At 36.2% G+C, this 23484-nt stretch overlaps 1 protein-coding gene across 4 annotated transcripts in view; it reads right to left on the bottom strand.

Moving 5' to 3' along the window:
- ATF6 (activating transcription factor 6) overlaps positions 1-23484 on the bottom strand; it is a 197751-nt gene that overhangs the window by 48162 nt on the left and 126105 nt on the right. For all 4 annotated transcript variants that reach the window (NM_001437597.1, XM_011509309.1, NM_007348.4 and 1 more), the window contains exon 15: positions 3529-3613. In NM_001437597.1, the coding sequence (NP_001424526.1) occupies positions 3529-3613 (85 nt within the window). The remainder of the gene's footprint in view (positions 1-3528; positions 3614-23484) is intronic.

Here is a 23484-nt window from a genome sequence, read left to right as displayed (position 1 = left end):
GCTCATGTCTGTAATCCTAGCACTTTGGGAGGCTGAGGCAGGAGGATCACTTGAGCCTAGGAGTTCAAGACCAGCCTGGGCAACATAGGGAGACTCTGTCTCTACAAACAATTTAAAAATTAGCTGGGAGTGGAATGTGCCTGTGTTCAGGAGCTGCTCGGGAGGCTGAAGTGGGAGAACTGCTTGAGCCCAGGAGGTGGAGGCTGGAGTGAGCCATGGGTCACGCCATTGTACCCCAGCCTGGGCAACAGAATGAGTCCCTCCCTCGAGGAAAAAAAAAAAAAGACATTTGTATGCTGATGGGAATGACCCAGTAGAGAAGAAGAAACTGTATAAAAGACGAATGGTATAAATGCAGAGTAAAGTCTTTGAGCACTGTGAGAAGTGCTAGGAGTCAGGGTCCAAAAGGAAGAAATTACCTTAGAAGTTGGCAATGATGTCTTAAGGACAATGGCAATGATGATTATTGCAGTAAAACAGCAGCTAACCCCAAAATAGTCAGGTACTATTTAAAGCTTTTTTACTCATTTCATTCTCACATCAACTCTTAGAGGAAGGTATTACTAATATCTTCTTTTACAGATGAGGAAGCTGAGGTACAGAAAAGTTAATTAACTTGCCCAATGATACATATCCAGCAAGTAGCAAAGCTGGGATTTAGAACCCAATGGAAGAGACTTTTCTTTCAGTGCAACAAGAGGGAAGGCAGAGTTTGTGGGTGTAGATGCAGCTGGGCCGGTGGTAGTGGAAACATGATGTAGCTCTTGCATGATGACATCTATTTTCTCAGTGTAGTATTTGGTGAGTTCATCAGCTGAGGGGGTGGGGAGAGAGGATGTTGGAGTTTTGACAAGAGAAGGTGAGAAATTCTTTTTTTCAGAGAGAGGGAAAGTGAATTTACTAGTAATGACTGGCATATTAAATATCCCTTTGAAATTAATGGTCACAAATTTGAAGTGAATCTACTTGTTCTCACTGAACGGTACTTTCTAGCAATTTTCAGCTGCTTGAGAGCAGGCATAGAGAGAAGAGCTGGGTTTACCTAGAAAGCAGTTTTTCCAAGAAAGTGGGACCTAAGAAAGGAGCCAGGAAGTAAGGGGTGTTCACAAGAGAGTGGTGACAGGACCATGGAATTTAAGCTGGGTAAGGAGGAATGTATGGCCATTAAGGATGTGATGGACACAGAAAAGAAGTGGCAGGGTCAAAGGACTGTAGACTTGTAAGTTAAGAGAGTAGTTGGAGTGTGAGTTTTAAAGTAAGAGAGTAAGTAACAGTCAGAGAGTGGGATGCCTGAAAAGGAGATTTCAAAGAGAGTGCTGCTGTTGATGATGATAAGGTCTAGATTATGACCATATGGATGGGAGGCTGAGGTGGCGCGGAATAAAAGATGACTGGATCAAAAAAGGCTAGAGTACTAATGACTCCTCTATGCGGATGCTGAAGTTAGACAGCAGGATGACAGAGGCAGTGGAGGAGTCGTCAGTGAAGGTGGAGTAGACGGCAGCAACAAATAAGGGTTAGAGGAGTAAAGTGTGATGTGACAGATTTGCAAGATGTTAAGGGGACTGAAGGAGAAATAATTTGAAAGTTGTAGTGGGAAGCAAGGATACCACCTGCCCTGCTGCAGACTTTGAGGTACATGAGGAAGGGGAAAAAATCAGGCTCTAATTTAAGAAGTATCCTCAGAGCAAGACTGTTAAGAGAAAAGGCTGAGGATGTAGCATGGTACTTGAAACACGGTATATATTCAATCAATATTTCTTGAATTTGAATTTTGATTTTTTAATAGGACTTATCCTAAAAAGGGAAGTTTTTAAAAAGACTATTTACAAAGAGTCTGAAACAGATTAAAAAGACAATGATCCTCTAATGACTGGATTTTTCCAAATCCATGAAAGGCTCCTCTTCAAAAATCAGTCACCTGGCCAAGATAAACATAGTCAAACAGCATCTTGTTGGTTTTGGCTTAATATAAAGATAGCTCACTGTTACAAAATAAGACCAGGCATTCTCTTGCATAAGAACCCAATATCAGAAGAACAAAATTAAGTGAATTCTGCCTTGATAAAGCTTAGAAAATAGCCTTTCTGAGCATAAGCTGACCCTTTGGTCTATTCTAGTTTAGGCAGAGAAACTTAGGTACCTATAGATTGAGTATAAGTGAGACTTCCTAAATACATTCTTTGGAATGTAATAAAATGCACTTTGGAATATATTCTTCTTCAGGTAGTAAATGATTATTCCATGAGTAACTTCAAAGGTATGTCTTTACTGAAGAAAGAGATGTTCTTCTCAATGTTACTGTTTTTCTTAAACTTATTCTGAATGTCTTTGTAAGGCTAAGTAAATATTGTAATTTTTATGCTTTAACAAAAAGCCCATTTATGTTTATGTCTATGAAGTTACTTCCTAAGCATTTCTAATAAGCTGTCTATATACAGATCATGAAATTCTAAGGTCCTCTATGGTCTTAAAATGTATGATGAATACCACTTTTCCCCTAAAGACTAAATTTTATTGAAACTTATCTGGAATCCCCCCAAAATTCTAGTGTTTTGTTTTATAATTGTATTTGAAGGTTTAATTATATTTATCAATCAAAATGTGAACTGGTTCGACTGCAGGTTAGTTCAAAGGGCTTTTCGTTTCCATCTTCTTCATATACTGAGGTTTTTGCTACCAGACAGAAAATTTACTAGTACCTACATTATGTGAGATACACAAACTTGAAAAAGATGGCCAACTCTCCGATTTTCAATATAATGTGTCAGAGAAAGCAATTAGTCAATAACATACACTGTGCTCATTTATAATCCACAACTGGTAATGGGAGTGAGTTATTTCACTTCTCCATGAAGAATCAAGCTGAAAGTAATCTCTTTTCACTAGATTTCTTAGTACCTCACATATTACTTACGTGACTTTCTCTTTGGAGTACAGTGATTTTTGTGCTTGTCTTTTTTTTTCTTCTAAACTATAAGCAGGTATATTATGCCTTAACATCTGTGCATTATATTATTATTTGTATTTTGTTTAATGTCCAGGGCTAGTAATATAACAAAATGCAATAGTAATACTATCAGTGTCAAACTCATCAGTATTATCAATTAAACATAAACAGGCTTCTGTGGCATGGTCTAGGATGATATCAACATTTAGGTAACACAGGAAACTGCTTTGAGTTCCAAAAATCTAATTTACAAATTCACTGTCAGAACACAGCAGGGGCTTCTTACACTACATTTATGACTAGAAGGGTCGCAGATGCAAGTCTGTAGAGCAGTCAAGATGCTAGCTTTTCCAATTTTGTAAGTAAAAGAAAGCTACTTTTTCTTTTAGGGATGTAGTAATTTTTTTTAAAAGAATAATGGATCTTAAAAATAATAAAACAGTGGAAAAATGTTTCAGAAATAATGTACGGATATATACTCATTTAACTGAACATTTTAAATGTCTTTGAACTAATGAAGAGAATCCTGGTTAAACAAAGAAATCTCATATTGTTCATACATCAGAATTTCAACTTACCATTTATGTTTATTGCTGGTAACACAATTGACATTTTTGGTCTTGTGGTCTTGTTATGGGTGGTAGCTGGTAACAGCAGGTGATCCTAAAATTAACAAAGAACAATCTGTTATATATAACAATTGGCTTAGTCCTAGAACAGGCCAAATTCAGGGCTTCTAAGAGGTCAATATTTCGTTGGGATGATGAAAAATTATAGTTTTTATTTGAAGTTGGCTTAATTAACTACAAACCAGCTTAGAATCATTCATTCATTAATGTAATACACATTTACAGAGTGTCTACCGTTGTCAGGCACTATGCAGTGATCTTGGAAAACTCCTAGGTTTTTACAACACATATGCTGTAGCACCACTATAAAGAATACTGGTCAAGCAGTCAAGACAAGGGATTTTAATTCTAATTCTGCCACTAAATAGCTGTATAATCTGGACAAGACTACGTATCCTTTCTGTGTTTCAGTTTCCAGTCCTGTAAAATGATGGGGGCTAGACTAGATAATGTCACAAGATACTGAGAGTATCTCCCCTAAACAGTCATTCTCAAACTTTTTTTTTAAAGGCAATAAACTCTTTTTCCCATCAAAATTCTTATCCCAGGAATTTTCTATCTGTAGAAGAAAGAAATTATCAACATGTACAAGAAAGATTCTGACTGAAGCAGGGCCAAGGCCTAGAGCCTTGCCTGCTTAGCCTCCTCTTCTCCCTTTGAAGGGACCACAGAATTAGACATTTATTTGCAAGTGACAGGTGCATGCTAAAGAAGTTGTACAGTTTTTGCCCTTAAAAAGCACACAGTTTGGTAGAAGAGTTAAAGAATTATAAATACATGCCTAGCACAATTGTATAGTCCTACACTGTGCAGGGCATCTGAGGTTTCTAATTTCCAGCACACAAGTACTAAAAGTAAGAATAAGCCAAGAGAAGCTTGGCTTCAGAAAAGGCAGAGTATAAGTGTTTTGAAAAATGTATATACATCTGTAGGCATTCTAAGGCTGATTATAAATGACTTATGACTTTGATATTAACTACTGTTTTCAGTAACTCCTCTTCTTCCTAGCAAAAACATATGAACTGTTACAGAAAAAAGAAAAAAAGAAGTATATTAGCATTTCCATTTAAGGGAGCATGGTTAAACTGGAGATAAAACTAAACCTAAGTTTGATGCATTTTGCTTTCTTTTCTTGTTCCTGTGTTCATTGTTTCACCATTCATTCAACAAACTTACTATATGAAATAACTCATCAAAAAGTAGGATCTGATACAGCTGAGAGCAATAAAAATTCAACACAACTTCAAAGTTCAAAGTTGATATGATTATGAAGTGTGATTATCAGCAAAACTAAGAAAAAAATCTAAAAAGTGAAAAACAAATTGAAATTGATATACATGAACAGAACTGTGTAGAAAACATTTCCAGTAACTGCTTGTATTTTGTGTAATTCAAGGCAACATTTCCATGAGAACATGTTTTTAAAAATTGGGGAGGAGAGAGAAGATGAGTAAATTCTGTTAGAATTCCAGCATTGCAGCAAGGGAATTTTTTGTTTTGTTTTTTTAAGTGCATTGTTAGACACAAAGATCACACATTTCTGATTAAGATAACATTATAACCAAGAAAAAACAGAATTTGCTGATCTTCAAGCCATGAAAGTTATACATAGCTTAATTCCTATCATTAAAATACTGCTTCAGGGTCTCTAAATTGAATGTGAAAACAAACCAAAAAACTTGCAAGCCCCAAATTAAGGCTATTGTAAAAATAAACAAACTTAGATTCCACTGGTCATGGGTTAAGGTCAGGCTCAGACTTAATTCTGAGTTTCCTGCTAAGATACAGATGCCATACTAATTGTTGTTTTTAAACATGATCTTCTGAACACAATGTCTCCTACTTTTTCTTTTCACTAAATTTCTAACAAACTAGTTACTTTTGCAGCAGAAAGCTAAAAACTAGGTATGATTTATGAAAAAGAAGAATCATATCTTGCATGCATACGAATTATTACAGTTAACCTGCCTTGTCTCTAATTATTAAAGGTTTGCAAACTGGGGTAACAGTTTTTAAGTACTTGTTTACCAAGAGGCCCAAAAATCAGACTGCAGGGAACCAAAGCTGGTATACTACCAACTCTAACAGTACATATCTTATAATAAAAATAAGTGTCTATATAATATATACATTTTATCTATCTTATCTATATATCTGGGACAATGTAGTTAACTTCATTGAATATTTACCTCCACTTCCTCAAAATAAATGTTTCTTGAACCTCACAACAATGAATCCTGAATCATTACTTTCTCTCTGTGTTCATCTTACTCTTTTTCAGATCATTAGTACTGTGAGTCACATTTTCAGAAACAAAGGAGCTGTAATCACTCAATAAATATTTACTGGCCTCTTACTGTCTTTTCTTTTTTTTGAGATGGAGTCTTGCTCTGTCACCCAAGCTGGAGTGCAGTGGCACGATCTCCATTCACTGCAAGCTCCGCCTCCCGGGTTCATGCCATTCTCCTGCCTCAGCCTGCAGAGTAGCTGGGACTACAGGCGCCCGCCACCATGCCCGGCTAATTTTTTGTATTTTTAGTAGAGACGGGGTTTCACCATGTTAGCCAGGATGGTCTTGATCTCCTGACCTCGTGATCTGCCCGCCTCGGCCTCCCAAAGTGCTGGGATTACAGGTGTGAGCCTCTGTGACCGGCCCTTACTGTTCACTTAAAAAAAATTTACTGAGCACAGTGTCCTGTCATGTATTCAGCACTGTGCTACAGAGGATATTTTCTTTTAAAGAATATAAATCCAAGTTTTTATTTTGTTGGGGAAACTGAATTGTGGCAGAAACAGCCTTTTTTTTTTTCTTACCCAATATATGCTCTCCTTCCTCTGTAACATTAAAATAGCAACAGGACTTGTGATATTTAGTTGGGCACAAGGCCACCCAGAATAAAGACTATATTTCCTAGCCTCCTTTGCAACCAAATAAGGCTACACGGTCTGGTCAACGGACTGTAAGAAGAAATGGCAACTTCTTCAAGGTGGTAATGGTGGAAGGCTTCCCTCCTCCTTCCCTTTCTCCTTCTTGCTAGCTAGAAGGCAGATATGACTGCCAGAGCTGGAGTAGCCGTCTTTGTTCCATGAGACAGAAGCTGCAAGTTGAGGATTATGGAGCAAGAAGACAGAAGGAGACAGGGATCCCGATGATTAAGTAGCTATCATTAGATCTCTGAAACTTATACATGAGACAGAAATAAACTTATAATTTATCTAAGCCACTATTATTTTGGATTTTCTGTCACTTAAACCTAAACCTAAACCAAATTACTAGTTAAATTATAAATCTGTGAAACAGTTCTAAAGGTATTTGGTCAAGAGGAATCTCCATAATGGTTAATTAAGGACAGGACTGTTATTTTTTAACAGCATAGAAACCATATTTATAATTTAGTCTTCTTGATATTGCACCCCCTTTTACTTAAATACTTATTAAGGAACTAGTGAAGGAAATTCAATTCTGGAGGTAAAATTTGATGAATTTGTATTTCTTTCCCTCCAATTAAATTGTTTAAAATAACCCAACAGTGACAAAAATGAAACTACTTAAAAATAAAAAGGATAGTAGAATAAGAATGTTGCCATAGAAAGAAATATATTTCGGCACTGTCACTCAAAACAATGTCATTAATTTTAAGACATCTTCGAATGGACTCCTGAAATGTCTTTATGAGGCTTTCCGTAGGGCTTAGATACTATAGGATTTCCTCTGGAATGAAATCATGTGGACAAATATTATAATCAATGTATTGTTACTCTTATTCCCAGAAAAAGTTAGAGAAACATGGAGGGGAGGGGGCGGGGAGAAACATCAAAACATTTCACCATGAAAATAAAGCATCAGTTTTCTAATGTTGTGCAATATTGTGCATGAGAAAATATGCTACTTTCATATAGTTCTCCCAATTCCCTCTTCCAAGCAATTTGTTAGAAACCAACAGAATATTAGTGTATAACACAGCCTTCAAAGTTACGTTTCTTGTCTTTTTAAGAAAACAAAAGCATTGGAGACTGGCTTATCAAAAGAAAAGGACCACATTTTGCTCCACTGAAATTAATTATGGTAACTCACAATAAAATTCAGGCCCTACTGAGAGTTATCAAATGTTGATTCTACGTATCTATGTAGAGTACAGACTGATTAAATGACCCTTCCCATTCCCCCTATAAAACTCACTGACTGGTGCCCATAGCACAGGGAACATTCACGACTAGTTGAGTTGTGTCTTTTTTCAAGACTACTTTCATTAATTGTATTAGTATAATTGTGTAATAAAATATTACATAAACTAATAGTGTGAAAAGAGAGCAAAAAGATAAAGGTAAGTTTTAAAATGTTCTCTCCTTGCAAAGCAACCATAAAAATCATAATAGTCTGCCCTCAGATTGCTTAACAAGTACCTTTAAGTTCTTATTCCAATATACAGTAACTGTAACCAAGACTGGAAATTATGGTTGCTGATTTGTGAGTATAGTTTATGCAAGAATGGCAACATGGAACTCTGAAGAGTGGATTTGGACTCAAAGAAAAGAAATTGGCCCTGCATACAAAACTAGCCAATGAGTGCACATTAATATAATCAAATGAAATAAAGATACATATCTTTTTAAAAAATTATTTTAGCCAGTATTGTTTATTAACAGACTATCTACTAGTACCCACTATATAGATAAGATGGCTTCTACTGTATTAGAAAACTCTGGCTCAAGGTTGGAGCCCTTTATCTTTAATAGAAAGGAATGTTATTTCTATCATAATTTCCCCTAGAAATGAATGAAACTCAGGCTGCACTTGTGACACTGAGCAGCTTTCACACAGATCAACACAGACCTCTATTAGGGAAAAAGTTTTGCATAGCAGACCAATAGTAACACCAGCCTCTTAACATTTTATATTTGGCCCATATCCACTGGATTCCAGAGATGGGTTTGGTTTTCCAATATAGGAAACTGTTAAAAGCAGATCAAAAATAAAAATAGCACCTAGCCTTATTTCAAAAACAGCTTTGTATTAAATTTTCTCTAACCTATGTCCCTGTCCTAGAGAGCTTTTGTTTTCTATCACTCTATTTCATAACTTTCAAGCTGTCAAAGAAGTTGAAGAACATATTAACCCTCAAAAATCAGAGCCAAAGCATCAACTAGAAGTAGGCCTTTCAGAGTTATTTATCTAAATTCACATTTTGCACTAGTGTTGTTTTCTAGTAGTTATAGTAATTCCTGATCAAAAACCAAATGTGCTCATTCATTAAAGCAATGGCAATTTGGGAATTTGAAATCATAAAAATATACAGACATACATCATGACATATCCTGAAAATAAAAATTACAAAAAACAAAATTAGGGGTGGTAAAATTAAGTAGAATGTAATCATTTAAAGTCTATTAAAATGTCTACGATACAGGGCTTCTCAGCATAGTAAAAACATAAGCAAAGTATATTAGTCACCCCAAAACTAGAAATAGTTCATATAAATAGCTAATATGAATGCTGTATTTGTGCCACTAATGTATGCAATAAAACTACAGACCCATAAAAGGAAATATAAAGCTTGCATCTGTACCATTAATACGCATGTCAGCCAGAAGAATAAATCAAAACTATTAGTGTACAACAGATGGCCCAAGAATGAGCCAAGGTTTACACTTTGACAAGAGGAAACTTTTGACACTTAATACAAATCTGATAATGCTGGCAAGGTCACCAGAGGAAAAATGAGCTTGAAATCCTAATAAGTACAAATTCAAGTTTTGATTTAAGATATACTTTTCATGTCAAACTCTGTAGGATGTCCCCCACAAACTGCCCAACTAACCCTGCCTCCCCTTTTATTAACACCAAAAAGTATTAGGTTGGACCATAAAAAACTGTCATTTTGGTGAGTCAAATATCAGTAATTTCATAAGGTTCAATCTAAGAGTAATATATGCCTCTCTTTTTAAAAACCAGAATTAATTTTGAGTTTCTTGGTCAAAATGGTTTCTTGTAAATACTTTCCGATAAGACAGTAGCATCCAAAATCATTCTTCTCTTTTCATGAGAGTTTCAGGAAAAAATGTTTCTAAACCAGGTCAGGATTGATCTCCCTAGGGAAAGCTCTTAAACAAAATGTTGGTTACATGCCTTGGACAGGTATAGGACCAGGAAGTCTCTGCCCATGTGCTTCATATTACTTCATTCAATAACTTGAGTTGGCCAGGCGCAGTGGCTCACGCCTATAATCCCAGCACTTTCGGAGGCCGAGGCAGATGGATCATGAGGTCAGGAGATCAAGACCATCATGGCTAACATGGTGAAACCCCGTCTCTAATAAAAATACAAAAAAATTAGCCAGGCGTGGTGGCAGGCGCCTGTGGTCCCAGCTACTCAGGAGGCTGAGGCAGGAGAATGGCGTGAACCTGGGAGGCTGAGCTTGCAGTGAGCCGAGATCGCTGCCACTGCACTCCAGCCTGGGCGACAGGGCGAAACTCCGTCTCAAAAAAAAACAAAAAACAAAAAACAAAACAACAACAACAAAAACACTTGAGTTAATCAAAGTTCAAAACTTTGTTAGCTATAATAGAGAGCCTTTTCAAAAACTGGGAAGTATATGATTTAGGAAAATAAGTTAGGGCCTCTGAAACTTATTAGCAATTGTAATTTGTTGAGTGCCAACAGGACAGCAATCCAAAAAAAAGTCTTCTTAAGGAAAAAGATCAAACACTAAATGCATAAAGAGTTTAACCATTTGGGAGTTTGTCATATATAATGTTTACAAGATGTTTCATTTTAGAAAATTCACTTTACTCAGGACTACTGGTAGGAAGTGAATTTCCTGAAGATTACATTGCCTCCTACAGGTGTGTTACCAAAGCAGACCACAGGGGGTCAGGTAGGAGGCTCTATGACTACAGTAAATTGAGTCAACAAGTTTCCTGAGAAAAGTTATTAGGAAACACTTCTAGCAAAAAGCTAAACATAGATATATAGGAGAATCATTATACTTTTTGTTGAAAAAAAGGAACATATTGGGTTGAGACAAAAAATATATATTTTTTTAACCCAGCAGAATCTCAAAAGTTACCTCAAATGCCACTTGTGTTTGTGTGGATAGCACAGCAGGGTGGGAAGGGAACACAGGGAGATATACTAGCCAACTCTTTCATATCAATGATTCTACAAATTTCTGGAAGGGGAGAAAAAAAGGGGTTTCATGTAATATATATTTCTAAAGTTAACTCTCCTTGCATGAGCCTCAGTGTCTAGCTATTCCTCCAGCCTTCACTCCAGATCTTGATCCTTTTCAAAGCAATTTTGATGTTGGCGTCACATAAAGAAATATGGAGGACTATAAAATGCCCCTAAAGCACATTTTAGGAAAGACTAGTCTTAACAAGGCAAACTACAAAGTGGAATAAGAAATTTTAACCATAATATGCTTTATGTACATCAGTGAACAAATTTTCTCTCAGGATCTTGGGTTAACAAAATAGCCAAACTCAACACTTGCTCGCATTAGAAGCTGAGCTTTATTGCCAGCTGCAATCCTAGTTAAAGATGGAGGTATGATACTATATAAAGCTGTTCCACAATCTAGAAGAGTTCACTTTTCATATCACATAGGGTGTACTTTCTAAAGCCTACCAGTTTTCTTTCATCATAAATAGAACAGTAAGTTCTCAGTTTCCATTCAGTTTTGTGTGTGTGTGTGTGTGTGTGTTTTGTTTTTTTTGTTTTTTGTTTTTTTGTTTTGTTTTGTTTTATACAGTCTCATTCTGTCACCCAGGCTGGAGTACAGTAGCGCAATCTCAGCTCACTGCAAACTCTGCCTCCTGGGTTCAAGTGATTCTTCTGCCTCAGCCTCCTGAGTAGCTAGGATTACATGCACCCGCCACCATGCCCAGCTAATTTTTGTATTTTTAGTAGAGACAGTGCTTCGCTATGTTGGCCAGGCTGGTCTCGAACTCCTGACCTCAGGTGATCCACCCACTTCAGCCTCCCAAAGTGCTGGGATTACAGGCGTGAGTCACCATACCTGGCTTCCATTCAGTTTTAAAGTGCATTTTTAAGGTATGATGCATTTGTAGGAAATACAATTTTTAAATTGTTTGGTCAAGTATTGTTCTAAAAAGGATTTCATTTAAATTTCAGGTGGTAACAGCTTAAAAGTCAAACTGGGGTAAAATAGTATAGAATAGTATAATAGTATTAAGTTCTGTACTAACTATGTATCTTTCAGAAAGCATTTAATCATAGGAAGCTGGGATCAGAAGCAAAAACAGTGCCAATGGTAGGTCCTTCTAAAACAGAAGTTCTTAACAAAAGATACATATCAGAATCACCTGCAGGATTTTATAATATAAATACCCACATTCCTCAACTCTTGAAAAACAATTTCTTACATGGTAAGTCTGAGGTGGGCCAGAATTTTTCACTATTAACAAGTATCCCTGGTGATTCTGATGCAGATAGTTCCAGGACTCTGCATTCACAAACACTGGCCAGAGTGGCACAGACAGAGATTAAAAGGATGGACTCTGGAGCTAGACTGCCTGGGTTTGAATTCTGCTTCCATCACTTAATTTCTAGCTGTAGGATATAGAGCAAGTTCCTTAATCTGTGTCCTCATTTTCTCTTTAGTAAAATAGGGACAGTAACAACACCTATTGCACCGATTGTTTATAAAGATTAGACAAGTTAGTATTTCAACACTTATAAGTGTTCAATAATTTTTTTTTTAAAAAAAGGGACCAAAAAGTTTGAGGAGAGTGAAGTCCCTGAGGAAACGCAACAGTTAAATGCAACTGATATAGGAAATTTAGATTTGTTGTTTAAGTTTATTCCCTCAACCACATAGTTGAGAGCCATTGTTCCACTACTGAATGAAATAAAGGATGACAGGCACACATGACCAATCCAAACTCTTTAGCCTAGAAATGAAATCTCTTTATAATTTGGTCCCTACTGATTTGGTCTCTCTCCATCATGATCTCACTTGTGTTTATTCCTTTTTATAAACATTAGCACTAACTGCCATAGATATTCTCTACCAATTCAACCAGGAAAAGGAGACACCCCTATATTTTATTTCCTTTAATATAAAAGATGACAGGAGAAAAATAATTGAAGCACAAGTATTCAAAGCCTCTACTCTATCCCTGTACCTTTTGTAAAGAGGTAAATTTTTGTTTTTGTAAGTGCTGATTAATTGTGTGTGTGCTAGGGGCAAGGAAGTGGTGGAGAGCAGAGTTGGAAGAAACTAAATTAAATTAAATTAAATTAAAGTTTAATTAAAAGGTATGAGTTATCAGCAGAAAAAAAAGGTCTGGAAGTTGGAAAGATGAAAAGAGGTAGATAAAGAAGGGCGGCCTCAGCTGTGGCCTTTGTAGAGGCACACACCTTTACCTGCTCCCACTTCAGATCTTCATTCAAATGTCAATTTCTCAGTGAGGTCTTTCCTAGCCACCTTAGTTAAATTGTACACACACATTCCCACCAAACACACCTCCTTTCCTTTCTCTGCTTTACTTTTCTCTCTAACACCTATTATATATCGTTACCCTTTATAAATGAGCTCCATGAGCTCCATAACAGCAGACATTTTCATCTGTTTTGTTCATTGGTGAATCCCCAGGATCTACTACAACCTTTCATATAGTAGGTAACCACAAACGATTTATAATGTAAACTAGCTAAAGGAGAGCTATTATAATAGATTTTTAACTAGTTTTTTCCCTAAGGAGGCAAGAATCTCTAAGACCCTTTCAGGTCAAACTATTTTCAAGCCTTTTTGCACTTTGTTGAAATTTACTCTGTTGGTGAAAAAGCAAAGCCAAACTGCTAGGCCTTAGTATAAATCTATGTAGTGGCACCAAGCTAGTCTAGCAGTCACTGTATTCTTCACCGCCACATACAGTAACAATGAATCAGCCAACAAATGAATAAATGAATAAAATATTTTAAAGCCAATTTCAGTTTAGAATATCCTTGTTGAAGCAGTAAAAATTATTAACATTCTCTGTGATGAAAGGGCAAGAACATAAAAAACTGTTTTGCTGCCTACTGAAGCATAATGGCTATCTCAAGAAAAAGCACTTGGGTGAATGATTTACAAGCTGAACAACCCACTTTTTTCAATACCACTTTTACTTGAAATAATGGCGAATTATTGTTATTCAGGCAAGGGTAACCCATTAAGCACTTTTTAAAAATGCAGTAAGCCTGATATTTCAAAGAAAATACTTGACAGTATTTGCAAATTATAAAATTTGGGATTTTGAGTGAAAATCCGAATTTCGGAAACCATGTATCTACCACCATGAGTATGACCTTCTTGATGTGATTCGTGGTGATATTAATGAATGTGATTTTTTGACATTGTATAATGAAATATGTTCATATTTAGAAGATCTGCCTAACTCTTAGTGAACCAGTATCTTCCAAATGAGCAGTGAATGATGTTACAAAATCATGCATGGGTACAAGTTCCATTCAAACTGCAAGATAGATCAATGGATTTTTAATGTTACAGAGGGTAAAAGTATCACTGATATGGCTTTAGATTCTATAGTGCAACTAATCTTTAAAGAAATTACCACTTGCTGAGTTTTTATGTAGTATCAAAACAATAATTCACAATTATTTGAAAAGGCTATTAAAGTACTCCTTCCCTTTGCAACTACTTACCTGCATGAGGGTAGATTTTCTTCATATATTTCAACTAAAACAATATATTGCAACAGACTGAATACAGAAATATATAAGAATCTTGTTATCTTCCATTAAATCACATATTAAAAATCTGCAAAACTGTAAAACAGTGCTACTCTTCTCACTAATTTTTTTTTTTTTTGCTTTGGGAGATATAATTATTTTCCATTAAAAATGTTATTTAAAATTTTAATTGTTTTTTTTTTCAAATAAAACATTAAATATTTTAAACATTTCTTAATTTTTATTTCTACTAATGGCTAATGATATTGAGCACATTTTTATGTGCTATTGGCCATTTGTATATCTTCCTTTGGAGCAATGTCTACTCAAGGGTTGAAAAACTAACTGGTTGGGTACTATACTCATTATTGGGTGATGGGATCATTCATACCCTAAACCTCAGCATCACCCAATATGCCAATGTAACAAATCTGCACATCTACCCCAAATCTAAAATAAAAGTTGAAATTATAAAAAAAGACTAGCCTTAAAAATTACTTCCAATAAATACATACAAATATTTCATATGTATGACAGACAGAAATATCTGCTTTATTATAGATAAGAATAATGTTTGTTGCTTAATACGACAGAAGAATGTGTAAGTGGGTAACACAGTGATCTATCTACTATAATTTTATATGTCATATGTCATATGTTTACATAACACCATAATGATGTTACTAAGATTATACCCAAAAAAGTATTCTCATATACATGTACTATCCTATATTTGAAAATACTTTTTTTAATCAAAGTTTTCATTTTTCAGTTTCACACAGCATTGCTTAATTATCTATTTCAAATGTAAAACTTTTAAATGTTCTTGTGTAACTGAAGATCATTAGTTTTGTACAAAACTTACAGAATGAACATGTCTCAGCTAATGCATAAATGTATGTCATGATGTGTACATATGCAAAGCAAATAATTAGCATACACTATAACATTAAGGAGATACTTTAAATAAACTACTTTAATCAAGCTATTCTGACTTCATTTGTTGTCAATACTTTTAATCCTCTTTCTAAAAGTATAATCAGAAATTATATTCATAAGTAACATTTTATTCTTCCTACCATACTGTTTGGTTTTTAGACTTCTAGTAATATAATGATGTAGAGTTTAAATGCAAAAGATTATATTTGACTTAATGGCTTCTTATTGAAAATGTTAACTCCCAGTTCAGCAGGCTCGTAAAAATTGCTTCCTAAGAGGTCTCTTTTCATGTCATCTGTTAATTATTTTTCATGCCATCTGTTAATTATTTATAAGCAAAAGTTGAGTACTATTCCTCACGTCGTCCATAAATTCTTTAAGCGAAATGACATAAAGGAAACCAGTTTTATGATAGCCTAATTGATATAAATGAGAGTTACGTTCCTACAGCATATTTCTGGCTATAAAAACATCACCAAACTTCTAAATAAAGACCCCAAGCACTTCTAATATTAAATATTGAAATAAATGTGAGCTATACATTTAATAAAAACTAATAAAAACAAGTAAGATAATTTATGCAATTTTTGGTGAATCAGTAAGTGATGGTGGTCGTAGTGATGTAAGTTAAGTCAATAAATGTTTGTGAAGCAAAAGTTATAAGGATGTGGGAGGAAACTGGAGAAAACCTGTGCAGACACATGGAGAAAACGTGAAAATTCCACACAGACAGTGGTCCCAGCTGGGAACTGATTTTTTTTCTCATCAATGTTATATTGAAATGAAGCTAAACAAAATGACATTTTTTGAGAACCTGCTGTGATCTGAGACGTTTCTTCAACTCTGGACGGGTGCCTAATAGAAGCATTGAAGTAAGCTGTGGAATATATAGGTCATAGGTTCAATAACTCTGTGCCTATCCCACAATGTAAAATGTAAAAAAATAGCAGAGAAAAATTTCCACCAATAAATATGCAAGACCCAGAGGAATAAGGCAGTGGAGTTTTGAGTTGACTACACTTACTTTATTTAAACTGTTTAAAATGTATGAAATAATTTTTACATGGAATGTTTTGTCTTTTATATTTACTACCAAATAAGACTTAATAAACTTAAGGGAAATTCTTTTTAATCATTTATCAAATGATCTAAATTTTACACATTTAAGAAACTAACTTTTTAAGTACCAAAATCTGGAAGGGTAAATAAAAACATTATGTTCGTGACCACAGAGAATCGGTTTTGAAAAGCAATTTTCAGGATTCTTCATTCTGATATACTAGACTTATTTCTCCCTAACTCTTGGTTAGAAAAGTAATAGAGAATTACTGAAGCTGTTAATAGGGTGACACAGTTGATTTCAAATGGGCTTGTAGAGTGTAAAGATTCAGTACAAATGTTTGGAATAACTTGCAGCTGTTGCAGGGTGAATAGGCTTAATGACATCCTGGGAATACTGAAGGAGAACTGCCTGGAGTACTTTAAAATATTTATATTATTGTGATATGAAAAAAATGTTTAATTAGAAGCCAGAAAACAGTGTAGAAACTTCATTGGCCTTTGTTTAATTCTGAATCAGATTTGTAGATGTCTCAACATTGTTACATATTCCTGGGTACACTTATCCACATATATCCTCTGTTGTAACAAAGTGCCTCCTCTAATAAGAAAGGGGAGAAACGATTTTCTTTAGTTTCATCCAGGTTTGGTTTAGCTCAATTTAATTCAGAATACTTTAGAATTTTACCATATGCAAAACACCATAATGGAAAAAGGGTGAATAAAAAACCCTACACTATTCTCAAGAAACTTATTTAGTGAGGATATACATAAAAATACAGAATACAGGCCTGGCACGGTGGCTCACACCTGTAATCCCAGCACCTTGGGAGGCCGAGGTGGGAGGATCACCTGAGGTCAGGAGTTCAAGACCGGTCTGGCCAACGTGGTAAAACCCTGTCTCTACTAAAAATACAAAAATTAGCTGGGCGTGGTGGCGTGCGCCTATAGTCCCAGCTACTTGGGAGGCTAAGGCAGGAGAATTGCTTGAACCCAGGAGGTGGAGGTTGCAGTGAGCTGAGATCACACCACTGCACTCCAGCCTGGGTGACAGAGTGAGACTCTGTCTCAAAAAAAAAACAAAAACAAAAACAAAAAAAACACACACACACAGAATACAATGAGTACTATATAACTATATTATGGGAATTCAATGAAATCATGGGGATTTAATTGAGTGTTCAAATATTGCTCCTTGAGAAAAAGCCTAACTGCCTATAGGTACTCTCGAGGCACCAGAGGTACGTTATTCTTTCATCCAGATAAAAACACTGGGTAAATGTCTCAATATTCATGCTAAATCTACCCTCTATTTGGTTTATAAAGCATATGGAGCAGCCCTGAATTAGCAATACAGAATATTAGTACTCTAGTCTCTCACCAAAAGCCTGGATATGATATTTAAAAGGCTTGCATAAAGCACATGCTAGCCATCCATTCCTGTAAGCATTCTAAGTTCCAAGACCAAGTTGCACTGTAAGAAGGTTTGGCTTACAATGTTTAGCCTCTCTCTGAATGGCTTTTACTGAATTGTACATTATGAACCAGATGACGAATCAATAAAAATTTACTAGGAGTCAAAAAAATCTATACTTAATGGAAACCCACATCTCCAAAATATACCACAAGAGCAGGTTTAGGCTCAACTCCAAGGATCATCTCAGTTACCTTAGAAATCTTAGTTCCAGAGCAGTGTTGTTTAATAGAAATATACTGTGAGGCATATAAGCAAGCCACATATATAACCTTAAAATTTCGGGCACACAAAATAAAAAAGTAAAAGGAAACATATAAATTTAATTTTAATAATCTACTTTATTTAATGTATCCAAAATATTATCACTCAACACGTAAGCAACATAAGCGTTATTAAAATATTTTACTTTTTCTTCACCCTAAGTCTTCAAAATCTAGTGTGTATTTTACACTTACAGCACATCTCAGTTAGGACTAGCTACATTTCAAGACTAGTGACTACTGTACTGACCAGTCCAGCTCTAAAAGATAAACTTCTTTTGGGAAATGACCCTTTCAGGCTTCCTCCCGAACAGAAAACTACAGCTCTTCTTTCCCCTTTTATTCTGTAGGTTTTTTAGGAGCAGCAGCCATGACAAATCTATGTAGCAGTTCTTTGGTGCTGAAGGTTAGAAGGTGGGGGAGGAGTTGGCCAGTAGAATATTTTTATTTATTTTATTTTTTGAGACAGGGTCTCGCTCTGTTTCCCAGGCTGGAGTGCAATGGCACCTTGACTCACTGAAATCGCTGTTTCCCCAGGCTCAAGTGATCCACCCACCCCCGCCTCAGCCTGTGAGTAGCTGGGACTACAGGTGCATGCCACCATGCCCGGCTAACTTTTTGTATTTTAGTAGAGATGGAGTTTCATCGTGTTGCCCAGGCTGGTCTCAAACTCCTGAGCTCAGGCAAGCCGCCCGCTTCAGCCTCCCAAAGTGCTAGGATTACAGGTGTGTGCCACCGAGCCCAGCTCTTTACATAATATTTAATTCAGTAAAAATATTATAGTCCATTCTGAGTTGGAAACATTTCAACTTCTCTTACATTTTGCAGAAAAAAATAACACACAACTTGAAAGGGATGTTAATTTGTTGAAATTTTACTGGTTTGCGTATTTCTGAAAGAACTCTCTTCTAATGTAATTTTATTTACTGATTAGAACATAGTAAAGTGCAGTGAAAAGTGCACTAGCCTGAAATGGAAGATGATTTGACTTCTAGACCTTGTTTTGTCACAGATGAGTTGTGTGCTGCCATATATATCTCTGATTCTAAATTTCTTCATCTATAAAACAAGGGGCTAAAAGTACACCTCTAAATCTCAAACATCTAAACTGGAAACTATATATTTATTTAAGAAATTCTAAATACTTCACACTTTCAAAGCAATATTATTTTTCCAATATACTATTGCATAACTTTGTAAAAATGAGATTAAATAATAAAGCTAAAATAAATGGCCAAATTGTAAAAGGAATCTAATTTTACTGATAATAGGTTCGATTCCTGTTCATCTGCACCAGCTAGGTTTTCACCAATAAGGAAAAATAACACAACATTCTCTATGAAAGAGAATTCGTTAAATTCAGTTTACTAGTGAAACATTTTAAATTTGAGTAACTGGGATTACTACACTTCACTAATAAAATTCTGCTACTGACTTGAAGACTCATCAAAATAAAGCAAGCAAAGAAAAATATATACAAATGTATAATCATCCAATATGGAGGCTGGGCATGGTGGCTCACGCCTGTAATTTCAGCACTTTGGGAGGCCGAGGCAGGCAGATCACTTGAGGTCAGGAGTTCAAGACCAGCCTGGCCAATGTGAAGAAACCCTGTTTCTATCAAAATTACAAAAGTTGTGGCACACACCTGTAGTCCCAGCTACTTGGCAGGCTGAGGTGGGAGAATCACTTGAAACCGGGAGGTAGAGGTTGCAGTGAGCCGAGATTGTGCCACTGCACTCCAGCCTGGGCGACAGAATGAGACAAATACATCTATCTATCGATTGATGGATAGATAGACGGATGTATTTGGCTTCCCATGGATAATTTCAGTTCAAGGTGAGCAGTTATTTCTATGTGTTAGCAGTATAGTTTTCTAATGCAGAGAACAGGGATGGTCCAGCATCTATTTCTGTAACTCACTGGGTCCTTTATTTTTTCTCAAAGATCAGTAATTTTTTAAAAATGCCTGATGTCAATGCACTACAGCATTTTCCAGAAATGTTTAAGTGCTGACAGAGGAAGTAGAATTCCCTCCTACTCATACCAAATCATGAAAGCTGAAACAGTTCATCTAATCAGTATAAGGCATGAATGCTTTCTTGTACATATTTTTAGAGGTAATTAAATGCTCTAGGGGGAGGGAAAAAGCACTGAGTAATAAAATGATCAGATATGTTGCTAAAGCTATTATGAAGCCCCAACCTAAAAGCAGAGTAAAACCCTATTCTAAATATCTAGACATTCTCACAGTCATATAGGCACATTTCCTCCCAGCTACTTGATCTCTATGTTCCATACTCTAATCACAATTCCTGCCTCAGACAAGTATCATTTTCACAATTAGGAAACAGAGCCTTAAAAATATTTGGGGGAATGGATGTATCTGTTATCTGAATCAGGGGATATCTATCAAACGAAGTTATAATATTAGATTGGATTTAAATGCAGATGTTTATCCTCTATAAAAGTAGGCATATACTATATTGCAATGATGTAAAAACATATATGCATCCTTTAAAATAAGTAAAACACACACAAATAGTAATGATTTTGTTAGGCTAGTAAACCATAGGTGATTTCTCCTTTTATACTTTTCAAATTTCTGACCATTGAGATGGTACTTTTGAAATTAAAAAGCTTTTTATTTATTTATTTTTTTGACACAGGTTCTCACTCTGTCAGCCAAGCTGGAGTGCAGTGGCATGATCTCAGCTTACTACAACTTCTGCCTCCTGGGTTCAAGCAATTCTCCCACCTCAGCCTCCAGAGTAGCTGGGACTACAGGTACACACCACCATGCCCAGCTAACTTTGGTAATTTTTGCTTGAGACAGGGTTTCACTATGTTGGCCAGGCTGTTCTTGAACTGACTTCAAGTGTTCTGCCCACCTTGGCCCCCCAAAGTGCTGGGATTACAGGCATGAGCCACTGCATCTGGCCTGAAATTAAAAATCACTTAAATTGATCACACAGTTATCTATTAATGGTTGAGACTACTTGGTAAGAATTCTATATAAATATGTAAACCTCATAAAGACTACAAAATAGGACAGGCACAGCAGCTCACGCCTGTAATCCCAGCACTTTGGGAGGCCAAGGCGGGTGGCTCACGAGGTCAAGAGTTCCCGGTCAGCCTGGCTGAGATGGTGAAACCCCGTCTCTGCTAAAAATACAAAAAAAAAAAAAAAAAAAAATTAGCCCGGCTTAGTGGTGGGCGCCTGTAATCCCAGCTACTCGGGAGGCTGAGGCAGAGAATTGCTTAAACCTGGTAGGTGGAGGATGCAGTGAGCCAAGATCACGCCACTACACTCCAGCCTGGGTGACAGAGTGAAACTCTGTCTCAAAAAAAAAAAAAAAAAAAAAAAAAAAAAAAAAGACTACAAAACAAATGTTGCCTCTAATAACCAAAGAAAAATTTATAAACGATTCAGTAATTTTTTAAAACTAAGCCCAAACGTTTAAGAAGTTTGAAGTTTAAGAACTTTAAGACTCTTCTCCATCATTTATGTGGTTTAAGACATTTCACTCAATCATAAAAATTAGATCTACTAATTTCAACTTCCAATCAAATTTTAGTGGTCTTCATGTTTTAGTTTTAGAATTTAAAACTAAAATTACTTAATTCCAAAATAAGTTTTTAAAACCATTTCTTAAAAAAAAAAAAAAAAACACCTGCTCAATTCAGCTGCCATCTTAAAAGGAACAAAAACGTGGCTTCAAGTAACAAGTACTAATAACAGGCAAATGATTCACATTGGATACCATATTGTAACACCAGTTCCTAAGTTTATTATTATAAAAGTTTTTCCAACCATTTGCAAGAAAGGGGAAAATCACAAAGAGATTAATTTTTGCAGAAGTAGGGACTTTATAAAGTATTCCAGAGCCAACTTAATTTGATACAGAGTTGGAAAAAGGTGAAAAATGCATATACCAGAAATCTTTAACTACAAAGGACATATTTTCTCAGTAAAAGGCATGCCAGGGATTGGAGAAAATTTATTTCAATCTGTCATAAAGCTTGACAGTTTGAGTAAAAGAAACAAGCAAAAGATGATTATATTATGTGAGGAACAGATATGTTAAGTCTTAGATGATTAACATTAGTTGAAAAATTAAGCAACATTTGTTCTTCCCTTACATTGTCCATTATACACTTGTGTGCAATTAAAGCCTGTCAAATGGTATGAACTGATTTAGGGTTCCCAGCACTTTTCTGAATCAGATAGAACACCTTACAGGGAAAATAAAAAGAACTCTTTTTACTTGAAGGGGAAGGAAGTAAGACGTCTTTCTATTAGGCAATACCTTTTGCTGTTGTTGCTTTTTAAGCACAGATTTGAAAGACTCAGGCTTTTCAGAAGGTCGACAAAAGAATAGTTTCACTTGTTATCATTTTTCAGGAGTTTACTTTGAAAATAAAGTTTCCGTGGCGGGGCGCAGTGGCTCACGCCTGTAATCCCAGCACTTTAGGAGGCTGAGGCTGGCGGATCACCTGAGGTCAGGAGTTTGAGACCAGCCTGACCAACATGGAGAAACCCCGTCTCTACTAAAAATACAAAATTAGCTGGGCATGGTGTCACATGCCTGTAATCCCAGCTACTTGGGAGGCTGAGGCAGGAGAATCCCTTGAACCTGGGAGGTGGAGGCTGCAGTGAGTCGAGATCGCACCACTGCACTCCAGCCTGGTCAACAAGAGCGAAACTCCATCTCAAAAAAAAAGAAAGAAAGAAAGAAAGAAAATAAAGTTTCCGCTAAACCAGTGTATGATTTTTCTAATCTACATAGGTTAGAATAGACTCACAGTGCAGTAATTTATCTTACCTGCAAATGAAATCTGGAAATGCTGAACTTTAAAAATACCAACCATATAGCTTACTGTTGAGAAGACAATGGCTTCCCCTCAACGACGTAGCAAAAGAACACAAAGCCACATTTTAGGGTCTTTAAAGAATGACCCGCCAGGCGCGGTGGCTCACGCCTGTAATCCCAGCACTTTGGGAGGCCAAGGCGGGTGGATCACCTGAGGTCAGGAGTTCGAGACCAGCCTGGCCAACATGGCGAAACCCCGTCTCTACTAAAAATACAAAAATTAGCTGGGTGTGGTGGCATGCGCCTGTAGTCCCAGGTACTAAGGAAGGCTGAGGCAGGAGAATCTCTTGAACCTGGGAGGCAGAGGCTGCAGTGAGCTGAGATCACGCCACTGCACTCCACACTCCAGCCTGGATGACAGAGCGCGACTCCATCTCAAAAAAAAAAAAAAAAAAAGAATGACCTGTATAACCTGAGAGGGAAATGCTAATGAGGGACTTTAAGAAATATCTAAGAGACAAAAAGAAAGGGCAATGAAAATCAACTGGGGGAAAAAGTATTACAGGATACACAGCTTGATGGATTTAGCAGAGACTTAAAGAGACAAACGGATATACAGAAGGAATTCTAAATTGTGTAAAAAGAAATGAAGATCCTGAG

This window comes from Homo sapiens, chromosome 1 (assembly GCF_000001405.40).
Source record: "Homo sapiens chromosome 1, GRCh38.p14 Primary Assembly".
In the NCBI taxonomy this organism is placed as follows: domain Eukaryota; kingdom Metazoa; phylum Chordata; class Mammalia; order Primates; family Hominidae; genus Homo; species Homo sapiens.
The sequence above is the reverse complement of the archived record's forward strand: the minus strand, read 5'-3'. Positions and strand labels throughout refer to the sequence as shown.